The 12,363-nt window shown below is 35.7% G+C and overlaps 1 protein-coding gene across 4 annotated transcripts in view; it reads right to left on the bottom strand.

The window, feature by feature from the left end:
* Window positions 1–12,363, bottom strand: part of MROH9 (maestro heat like repeat family member 9) — a 129,232-nt gene that overhangs the window by 100,532 nt on the left and 16,337 nt on the right. For all 4 annotated transcript variants that reach the window (NM_001163629.2, XM_011510006.3, XM_011510005.3 and 1 more), the window contains exons 4-6: window positions 5,694–5,773; window positions 4,637–4,772; window positions 2,258–2,344 (exon numbers count right to left, since the gene is read on the bottom strand). In NM_001163629.2, coding sequence (NP_001157101.1) covers window positions 2,258–2,344; window positions 4,637–4,772; window positions 5,694–5,773 — 303 coding nt within the window. The remainder of the gene's footprint in view (window positions 1–2,257; window positions 2,345–4,636; window positions 4,773–5,693; window positions 5,774–12,363) is intronic.

The raw sequence follows: 12,363 nt of genomic DNA, 5'->3' as shown, positions 1-12,363 counted from the left end.
CCACACATTAGCATTATATATATTATTGCTCCTTTCTCCGTTTTCATTTTTTTTAAATCTGTGAAATGGAAGAATTAATAGTAACCTCCTCATGGAATTATGTTAAGGATTGTATGAGATAACCCACATATTCAATTTAGTGCCTGACATGGAGTCAATGCTTAACTCAATAAATGGAAGCTATTGATAGTGTCATGGAGTGAATAAAAGAGCATGCATGGGCAGGGAAGGGGAGGATTCATAATCACGGTGAAGGGTTGTGAGGATAACAACTTTTTTTAACTTTTATTTTAAGTTCAGAGGTACATGTGCAGGTTTTTATATAGATAAACTTGTGATATTAAGCCTAGTACCCATTAATTATTTTTCCTTATTCTCTCTCTCTTCCCAACCTCCACCCTTTGTCAGGCCCCAGTATCTCTTGTTCCCCAATATGTGTTCATGTTTTCTCATCACTTAGCTCTCACTAATAAGTGAGAACATGCAGTATTTGGTTTTCTGTTTCTGTGTTAGTTTGTTAAGGCTAATGGCTTCCAGCTCCATCCAAATTCCTGCAAAGTACATAATCTTATTCTTTTGTATGGCTGCATAGTATCCCATGGTGTATGTGTACTACAGTTTCTTTATCCAGTCTACCACAGGTGGTTATTTAGGTTGATTCCATGTCTTTGCTATTATGAATAGTGCTGCAACAAGTATATGTGTGCATTTGTCTTTATGACAGAACAATTTATATTCCTCTGGATATATTATATCCAGTAATCGAATTGCTGGGTCAAATGGTATTTCTGTTTTTAGGTCTTCGAGGAATCACCATGCTGTTTTGTACAATGGTTGTACTAATTTACACTCCCACCAACAGTGTATAAACATTTATTTTTCTCCACAACCCTGCCAGCATCTGTTGTTTTTTGACTTTTTAAGAATAGTCATTCTGACTGGTGGTAGTTGGTATCTCATTGTGGTTTTGATTTGCATTTCTTTAATCATCAATGAGGTTGAGCTTTTTTTCATATTCTTGTTGGCCACATGTATGTCTTCTTTTGAAAAGTGTCTGTTCATGTCCTTTGCCCACTTTGTAATGGAGTTTTTTTTTTTCTTGTAAACTTAAGTTCCTTATAGATGCTGGATATTAGACCTTTGTCAGATGGATAGTTTGCAAAAATTTTCTCCCAATCTGTAGGTTGTCTGTTTACTCTGTTGATAGTTTCTTTCGCTGGGCAGAAGCTCTTCAGTTTAATTAGATCCCATTTGTCAATTTTTGCTTTTGGTCCCATTTGCAACTGCTTTTGGTGTCTTTTTCACGAAATTTTTGCCTGTTCCTATGTCCAGAATGGTATTGCATAAGTTGTCTTCTAGGATTTTTATAGTTTTGGGGTTTACATTTAAGTCTTTAATCCATCTTCAGTTAATTTTTGTATATGGTGTAAGGAAGGGGTCCAATATCAATCTTCTGCATATGGCTAGCTAGTGGATAACATTTTTTAAATGAATTAAAAAAAACAGCTCAAATTAGGCACAAATTAGCTTAATACATTTTTATTTTCATTCAAATTCCTTTTTGTATTCATAAATACCAATACTGCTTCTTTACTTGTATGTATTTATGATTTATACAGCTCATAGATGCTCCTGGTAGGATAAATCCATCTATTTTTCCAGTACTTCTGGACAGTTGGCCTCTGATGCCAACATGTTAGGAATGCAAAGTTGAAGACCACAAGACATGCAGTGCAGTCTTCTGTCTCTGGTTGGGACATTAAAAAATGAAGTGAGGTCTCAGTTGTGAAAAATAGGGTTTTGAATTGTTGTTAGGCCTTCTTTAGGTACAGTAGTACCCATGAAGATAGAATGCTCAGCATTTTCTTTAGCACCTGAGTTGATGAGGAAGAAGCATGAACACAGACATACACAGCATGGTTTCATTGCTATGTGAACTTGAGGGTAGTTTAGGCTAACACTGCTCTCTAATACTATTCTCTGCTACTTCAAACTGTGTTCACCCATATATCACCACATGAGACCTGGTTTCTCAAGTACCTGTTGATGCTGTCCTTCCCAAATTAAATTCCTAAAAGTGTGCCCCTGTAATTCAAATAAAGGGAAGTGACTACATTTCACTCTTCTGTGGTAAAGAAAAACTTTCAGTCATCAAATACTTGAAGGAGATGCAAATATAGCAAATGAGAAGAAAGTGAAGCATAGTGAGCATACTAGACTTATGACAAGAAAATTAAACTACTTATTTCCTCTTTACCTTTAAGATCTGTAGTTTGTAGAGGTCTTTAGACACCAAGCTCGTAAGAATGTTCTCATATATATTTAAAATATTGTGGTATAAATTCTGAAACACAAAAACATTGCACAGTCAGCCAGACTTAGATAAAATTTTACCTAATGTCTACAGTTTTTTTCTTGCTTAAAAGTTACTTTTAACTGGGTTTCAATTCCTTGAACATAAATCAGTGACACAGAAAATACTTAACATCAAATTGTAAAATGCCACACATATTTAAAGAATTTTAGCATTATCTCAGATATTAAAAAATATACAAAGAAAAAGACAAATGAAAACATAAAAATGTAATTCTCTTTGAGAAGTAGAATGAATATTTTTAGTGACTTTCTATAATATTTAAATTTTCTGTAATAAGCATCTACCATGTTTATAGGAGGAAAAGCTATAAATTTAATTTTATAAAAACTTGATTTTCCATGTTTATGAATGCTGCATTTCCTCAATATTCTTTGTGCTTAAATGTGATTTTGCTTGAGAATTCAATATGTTGGATTTATTTTCACTGGATGTGTGATTTTGAGTTCATTTTCAAAAAGAACATAGCCCTGGCTAATAGTTTTGTCCCTGTATTTATAAAAAGTTTTATTTCCTATTCTAATGGTGAACATTTAGAAAAATTCTCACCTCTAAAATTTTAAATTTTCTCTTGCCTTAGCTGTTTATAGATTATCTTTTTAGTGTTTGTTTTGGGATACTCTTGTACGTATACTTTTCAATTTTCCACTGTCTTTTAGAATGTAATAACATGAATATATTTTATTCTAACTGTTGCTTTAAGTTCATTGAAAGGAATAATTTGTGAATATCCACCTGAATAGTTGTGATGGAAGTAGACAGTAATTGCTATTTTAAGTGCTGCTACTTACTACTATCTATGTAAAAAAAATAGACTTTTATGCCTTTGTGATTTGAAATAGGTTGGAGAAGACTCAAGCATGACGTGACTTGGTTCTTATTTTAGCTGACACCTACAAGTTATCCAAACATCATATTTAAATATAATTCAGGCCAGGCACAGTGCCACACACCTATAATCCCAGCAATTTGGGAGGCCAAGGTGGGAGGATTGCTAGAGTTCAGGAGTTTGAGACCAGCTTGGACAACATAGTGAGAACTCATCTCTATAAAACAAAACAAAACAAAAATTAGCCAGGTATGGTGGTGCATGTCTGTAGTCCTAGCTACTTGAGAGGCTGAGATGGAAGGATTGCTTGAGTCCAGAAGGTGGAGACTGCAGTGAGCCAAGATAGTGCCACTGAACTCTAGTTTGGGTGAAGGAGCAAGACCCTGTCTCAAACAAAACAAAACGAAACCAAATATTGAATACATTTTATATGTAAATAGATGGAAACAGTAAGATTTATTGTTCCACACACTATGTAGGTACTAGAAATTGTATGCTATGTGGGTATTGGAAATTTCCATGTGTGAGTAGCTGATATATAAAATATATGTAACATTAATAAACATGGGGCATTTGGATGATGAAATGCTATATAACAACACATTTTTTTCTTTCTTTCTAGTATTGGAAGAAGACTTTTATTTAACTCAGAAGTTATTTTTCTTCTCCCAACTACCAGAGTGGTCTTCACCAGTAAAAAGTAAAAGTATCTCTGGGTATCCTCAGGTAGCCACTCAGGAATATTTGGAAGAAGTCCAGTTGGAAAATAATGGCACATTTGTAAAAAAATAGCAGCCTACAAATCTGTGTTAGGGATACAGGAACATAGCTGAGAAAGTTTCTACATTAAAGTCACCTTGCATCAATTGCAGACGAGGCTGAAATTCTCTGAGATGTGTATAGAAGCTCTTATAAAAAGAAACAATTAGCCTGATAGTTTTGCATCTGAGTGTTGTACATTCTCTCCACAAACTGAAGAAAGGAGAGAGGTGGCTATGCTGAGACCTCACTTTATATCATATGCCATGAATTTCTTCTCTAGCTTATAGAGCAAGTTCACTGTATAGCAATGCTGAAGAAATGGAGACCGCAGATGTTTGCTAATTTTACTATAGGATTCTTTCTACTTCCATCTTTCCATGTTCCTATTCCATTCTTTGAAGCACTTGCCAGCAAACTCCCTATTCTTGCTAAACCAATTAACCAAAAATATCTTCGCCTATTTGCTCCTACAAATCCTATAGAATCCATTAAAATCCCATGGGTTGTAGAACTCACAAGGAGTCCAGTGGTATAGATTAGTGCCCTGACTGTTATAACTAAAAAGAGTGAAGAGGAGGACCCTAAAGATTATCACCTGCTGAGTCACATTCTGCAGGATTGCTGTGATGTGTAATAACATCCTATAATGATTAAAGGAAGAAAAATTTTACCTCCATGTCCTCAATGTACTCATAACTGCTCCCCATTTCTTTTACTTTGTCAAGACTTGGCATGACAACTAGCATTCCAAAGGATGACTCTATTATCTTCAACTGAGATTCAAACTGCAGTAAGGGATCCACAAAGCTGACAAGAAAAAGGAGCAATTATTAATGATGAGAAAACAAATATAATAGAAATTTAGTGGGCTTTATTTATTTATTTATTTATTTTGAGACAGAGTCTCGCTCTGTCACCCAGGCTGGAGTGCAGTGGTGCCATCTCGGCTCACTGCAAGCTCCACCTCCCGGGTTCACACCATTCTCCTGCCTCAGCCTCCTGAGTAGCTGGGACTACAGGCGCCCGCCACCACGCCTGGCTAATTTTTTGTATTTTCAGTAGAGACGGGGTTTCACCATGTTAGCTAGGATGGTCTCGATCTCCTGACCTCATGATCCGCCCGCCTCAGCCTCCCAAAGTGCTGGGATTAGAGGTGTGAGCCACCGTGCCTGGCCCAGCCATTTCTTAGTGATAAGCAAAAATGAGGTTCAGCTTTTGGCTTTGTATGACAGATGAGTCTTAAATATTCTCTTAAAAATGATAATAATGTTGTAAAAATAAAGGAATTAATTTCTTTGCAAATATTATCTATAAACAGTTATGTAGAAATCAGAATATATTTCTCCATAAACATAATAATGCAAAGAGTGGTTACATTCCCAGCCAAGTCCACAAAGCCATGCTAAGCTTTAAACAGTTGAGATATATTACTGACCCATTTTCTGTAATCAATGATAATATGTTTTTCACATCTTAGTATTTCTTACATTGAGATGCATCTTCAAACTGATGGCAAATGAAGCTTGCCTCAGCAGCTAGAAAGATTATCTGCTTGTCTACGCAATACAAAAAGACTGGGAAAGAGTATAAGAAAGAAATAGTAGTCACCAAATTATGATGGTGAAGTTTGGAGTAATTTCTTATCTTTCACAATTGCATGTTTTTAAAGATATAACATTTTAAATGCATCCAATTAGTGAAATAAAAGAGCATGATAGCTTATCATACCTGGAGTTCACAGCCAGGATCATGGATTCATTACTTAACAGGCCTGAGTATGCATCCAATAGGCTGTTAACTTTATGTGCCTAAGTACCATGTTAAAAAAAAAAAAAAAAAGAAGAATTAATGATTACAGAGCAGTGAGACTCATAATAGCATGTGCACTTCTTCCTTTTACAGAGACTAAAGGAACCAAATCAGACTGGAAAACATGCTCAAGAGTTCATAGAAGTGTTGAGACCAAACTGTAATTTAAATCTACAATAGTATGTTTGCCTAAGTGGAGGTCTTTTACAGTCAACCACTATGCTTATACAATTTGCATTTCCAGACAGCACTTTGTAAGGTGTGCTCTTTACCAGATGCACTTCTGTACACCACTATAACTATTAAGTCCCATCTACACAGTGTGGAGTCTACCTATAAAAATGCCAGCAGCGCCGGGCGTGGTGGCTCACGCCTGTAATCCCAGCACTTTGGGAGGCCGAGGCGGGGGGACCACGAGGTCAGGAGATCGAGACCATCCTGGCTAATACGGTGAAACCCCGTCTCTACTAAAAATAGAAAAAAATTAGCCGGGCGTGGTAGCGGGCGCCTGTAGTCCCAGCTACTCGGGAGACCGAGGCAGGAGAATGGCGTGAACCCGGGAGGCAGAGCTTGCAGTGAGCCGAGATGGCCCCACTGCACTCCAGCCTGGGTGACAGAGAGAGACTCTGTCTCAAAAAAAACAAACAAACAAAAAAAAAAAAAACAAAAAAATGCCAGCAGGGCAACTTAAGTCAGGCCTTATTAAAGAATGACTAAACTTACACTATGGAATGAGAATTTAGCCTTTAAAAGTGGTAATTAAAGGGATTCCACTAAGAATGTATCATTCTTTTTTTCCAAGAAACTGGAGAACTAGACCTCCAATAGCCAAAACAATCTTAAGAAAGAACATGGAGGTCTTACAGTTATGATTTCAAGCTATAATACAAAAGTAATTAAAATTGTAGGGACTGCTATAAAAACAGACTCATAGACAAATTGAATGAAATAAAAAGCCCAGAAATAAATCTATTAATATATGGTCAAGTAATCTTTGATAAGGGAGACAAGAATTCACAATGGGCAAAGGACAGTCTCTTCAATAAATGATGTTGGGAAAACTGAATGTCCATAAGCAAATAAATGAAATGGGACCCTTATCTTTTACCATATACAAAAGTTGATTTGAAATGGGTTAAAGACAAATGTAAAGAAGTGAAACTGTAAAACACCTAGAAGAAAACATAGGGAAAGAGCTTATTTACATTAGTTTCGGTGAAGATTTTTTGGATATGACGTAAAAAGCACAGGCAACAAAAGCAAAATTAAACAAGTGGGACTACATCAAACTAACAAGCTTCTGCACAGCAAAGAGAACAATTAATAAAATTAGAAAGACAACCTATGGAATGGGATAAAATATTTGTAAAACATAAATCAGATAAGGGGTTAATATCCAAAATGTATAAGAAACTCATGATTCAATGGCAAAAAAAAAAAAAAGCAGATAATCCAATTACAAATGGGCAAAAGACCTGAATAAAACTTTTTCCAAAAAATACATACAAAAAGCAGTCCCTCTGAGAACTGGAACAAGACAAGGATGCCCACTCTCACCACTCCTCTTCAACATAGTACTGGAAGTCCTAGCCAGAGAAATCAGGCAGGAGAAAGAAATAAAGGGCATCCAAATCTGTAAAGAAGTCAAACGGTCACTGTTTGCTGACGATGTGATCGTTTACCTTGAAGACCCTAAAGACTCCTCCAGAAAGCTCCTAGAGCTGATAAAAGAATTCAGCAAAGTTTCCAGATACAAGATTAATGTACACAAATCAGTAGCTCTTCTATATACCAACAGCGACCAAGGGGAGAATCAAATCGAGAACTCAACCCCTTTTACAATGGCTGCAAAAAAAAAAAAAAACAAAAAAAAAAAAGGAAAGAGAAAAACAAACCAACAACAACTTAGGAATATACCTAACCAAGTAGTCAAAAGACCTCTGCAAGAAAAACTGCAAAACACTGCTGAAATAAATCATAGATGACACAAACAAAAGGAAACATATCCCATGCTCATGGATGGGTAGAATCAACATTGTGAAATGACCATACTGCCAAAAGCAATCTACAAATTCAACGCAATCCCCATAAAAATACCACCAACATTCTTCATAGAATTAGAAAAAAAAATTCTAAAATTCATATGGAACCAAAAAAGAGCCCACATAGCCAAAGCAAGGCTAAGCAAAAAGAACAAATCTGGAGGCATCACATTATCTGATTTCAAGCTGTACTATAAGGCCATAGTCACCAAAACAGCATGGTACTGGTATAAAAATAGGCACATAGACCAATGGAACAGAATAGAGAATCCAGAAATAAACCCAAATGCTTACAGCCAACTGATCTTTGACAAAGCAAACAAAAACATAAAGTGGGGAAAGGACACCCTTTTCAACAAATGGTGCTGGGATAATTGGCTAGCCACATGCAGGAGAATGAAACTGGATCCTCATCTCTTACCTTATACAAAAATCAACACAAGATGGATTAAGGACTTAAATCTAAGACCTGAAACTATAAAAATTCTAGAAGATAACATTGGAAAAACCCTTCTAGACGTTGGCTTAGGCAAAAATTTCATGACCAAGAACCCAAAAGCAAATGCAATAAAAACAAAGATAAATAGCTGGGACTTAATTAAACTAAAGAGCTTTTGTACGGCAAAAGGAACAGTCAGCAGAGTAAACAGACAACCCACAGAGTGGGAGAAAATCTTCACAATCTATACATCTGACAAAGAACTAATATGCAGAATCTACAACAAATTCAAACAAATCAGTAAGAAAAAAACAATCTTATCAAAAAGTGGGCCAAGACATGAGTAGACAATTCTCAAAAGAAGATATACAAATGGCCAACAAACATATGAAAAAATGTTTAACATCACTAATGATTAGGGAAATGCAAATCAAAACTATAATGCAATACCACCTTACTCCTGCAAGAATGACGGTAATCAAAAAATCAAAAAACATTAGATGTTGGCATGGATGTGGTGATCAGGGAACATTTCTACACTGCTGGTGGAAATGTAAAGTAGTACAGCTGCTATGGAAAACAGTGTGGAGATTCCTTAAAGAACTAAAAGTAGAACTACCATTTGATCCAGCAATCCACACTACTGGGTATCTACCCACATGAAAAGAAGTCATTATTTGAAAAAGAAACTGGCACAAGCACGTTTATAGCAGCATGATTCACAATTGCAAAATCGTGGAACCAACCCAAATGCCCATCAACAAGTGGATAAAGAAACTGTGGTATGTATATATATATACATAAAATGGAATACTACTCAGCCATAAAAAGAAATGAATTAACAGCATTTGCAGTGACCTGGTTGAGACTGGAGACTACTATTCTAAGTAAAGTAAGTCAGGAATGGAAAACCAAACACCGTATGTTCTCTGTGATATGTGGGAGCTAAGCTATGAGGATGCAAAGGCATAAGAATGATACAATGGACTTCGGGGACTTGGAGGAAAGAGTGGGAGGGGGATAGGGATAAAGGCTATAAATATGTTGCAGTGTATACTGCTCAGATGATGGGTGCACCAAAGTCTCACAAATTACCACTAAAGAATTTACTCATGTAACCAAATACCACCTGTACCCCAATAACTTATGGGAAAAAAGGCATATAAACGGTGAATAGGAACGTGAAAAATGCTCAATATTATTAATATAATAATATTAATTGTCAAGGAAATGCAAATTAAAATCACAGTGAGACATTACCTCACACCTGTTAGGATAAGTATTATCAAAAAGATGAAAGATAATAAGAGTTGGTGAGAGTATGGAAAAAAGGAAACCCTTGGATGCATGTAAACCCTTGGCATGAACGTAAATTGGCATGAAAACAACCACATGGGAAAACAGTATGGAGATTTCTAAAAAATTAAAAATGGAACTACATATGATTCAGCAATCCTATTTATGGGTATTTATCCAAAGAAAATAAAAGCAGGATATCAAAGAGACATCTTTACTCCCATGTTCATTGCAGCATATTCACAATAGTCAAGATATGGAATCAACCTAAGTGTCCTCTGATAGATGAATTGATACAGAAAATATAAAATCAGATATTGAAGAGTGCCAAAATTCAAAGCTGTCAAATAGTAAAATTTCTTAAGAATTTACAATTCAATATGTAGCTAATAGGAGTCTCATAAAGAAATAATGGAGAAAACATGAAGAGAAAAATTATCCAATCAATAGTGTAGTATAATTTCTCAGAGATAAATGGCTGGAGCAGTTGGATTGGAAATGTGTGAGTGCCCAGTATATTTGAATTAAAAAATACCTAGAGACATTTTTATAAAATTCCAGTTTACCAAAAATAAAGATAAAGACTTCTACAGAAAGAATCCAGGTGACAAAGACTAGAGAATCAGACCACCATCATGTTTTCATCAGTCATAACGGATATCACAAAACAATGTAAGTTATGCATTCAATTTTTTTTTAAGAGAAAATGACTTGTGACCTAGAGAAATGGCTGAAATAATAATTGGTGATGACTCTTTTCACGGTGTTTCTTTCTTTCTCTCTCTTTTTTTCTTTCTTTCTTTCTCTCTCTCTCTCTCTCTTTCTTTCTCTTTCTTCCTTCCTTCCTTTCTTTTTCTTTCTTTCATCTCTCTCTCTCTCTCCCTCTCCTCCCTCCCCTCCCTCTCTCCATCCTTTCTTTCTCTTTCTTTTCTTTTCTTTTCTTTTCTTTTCTTTCCCTAATCTACATTGCATGGCTTTTAAAAATAAGAGCATACCATTTTTGTAAAACTATAAAAGCATTTGAAATTGATCATATATTCACTTCATGAAGAACATCTCCTTAAGCTCTGAAAGTTAGAAACTGTGTGGGCCAATGCTACAAGACTTTATGTTACAAACATAAGAATGGGACAAAAGATGTTTAATACAACTAGATGAATTTATACTTTACCTTGCACCTACACAAAATGGATCATAAATATAAATGTAAGGCTAAAATTATAAAACCTTTAGAAGAAAACAGCCATTTTTGGTTAGGAAAAGTTTTTTTTTGTTTTTAGATGCAACACGGAAACCATGGCCCACAAAAGAGAAAAAAATGGTAAATTGGACTTGATCAAAACTAAAACCTCTTGCTCTTCAAAAGATACCGTTAAGAAAAATAAGACAAACCATATACTGAGAGAATATATTTGCAAATCATACATTTTACACTCAATAACAATACTATTTATAAAATACTTCTAAAGATACTGTATGAAGTCTGCATGAAGAAAAAACTTTACTAAATATTCAAATAAGTAGAAAGAAAACATGTTTCTAATGATAAGACAATAGTTTAAGGAAGTATTCATAACTTAATCTATAAATTCAGTGTTTCAAATCAAAATGCCAAGAGAAATTCTGGAAGGAATTTGACAAGTATATTTCAAAGTTCCTCTGATAGTGTGAATAATTAAAAGTAGCTAATACATTTTTGAAAACCAAAAATAATTGGATAGATTACAAAAGATTTTGTGTTATACATCTGAGCTATCTGTAGTAAAGATTTGTCTGATACCTCCTTCACTGCTATAATTTGATGTGTTGGCATTGCCTACCTCTGTTGAAGTCAAAAGCTGCTGCTTGCTGCTGCTGCTGCCTCTGCCATCTGTCAAAGGCATTGATACTGTTGCTAATGCTTCTTTTTTTAATATATATATATATATTTTTTATTATACTTTAAGTTCTGGGGTACATGTGCACAACGTGCAGGTTTGTTACATATGTATACATGTGCCATGTTGGTGTGCTGCACCCATTAACTTGTCATTTACATTAGGTATATCTCCTAATACTATCCCTCCCCCCTCCCCCAACTCCACAACAGGCCCCAGTGTGTGATGTTCCGCTTCCTGTGTCCAAGTGTTCTCATTGTTCAATTCCCACCTATGAGTGAGAACATGCAGTGTTTGGTTTTTTGTCCTTGCGATAGTTTGCTGAGAATGATGGTTTCCAGCTTCATCCATGTCCCCACAAAGGACATGAACTCATCATTTTTTATGGCTGCATAGTATTCCATGGTGTGTATGTGCCACATTTTCTTAATCCAGTCTATCATTGATGGACATTTGGTTTGGTTCCAAGTCTTTGCTATTGTGAATAGTGCCACAATAAACATATGTGTGCATGTGTCTTTATAGCAGCATGACTTATAATCCTTTGGGTATACATCCAGTAATGGGATGGCTGGGTCAAATGGTATTTCTAGTTCTAGATCCCTGAGGAATCGCCACACTGACTTCCACAATGGTTGAACTAGTTTACAGTCCCACCAACAGTGTAAAAGTGTTCCTATTTCTCCACATCCTCTCCAGCACCTGTTGTTTCCTGACTTTTTAATGAGTGCCATTCTAACTGGTGTGAGATGGTATCTCATTATGGTTTTGATTTGCATTTCTCTGATGGCCAGTGATGATGAGCATTTTTTCATGTGTCTTTTGGCTGCATAAATGTCTTCTTTTGAGAAGTGTCTGTTCATATCCTTCACCCACTTGTTGATTACCGTCCCATGGCTGCTGTAACCCATTAGCAAAAGAGCCAGCTTCTGCAC

The sequence above is a fragment of the Homo sapiens genome, chromosome 1 (genome assembly GCF_000001405.40).
Source record: "Homo sapiens chromosome 1, GRCh38.p14 Primary Assembly".
Lineage (NCBI taxonomy): Eukaryota > Metazoa > Chordata > Mammalia > Primates > Hominidae > Homo > Homo sapiens.
This window is presented reverse-complemented; position numbering and strand designations above follow the sequence as displayed.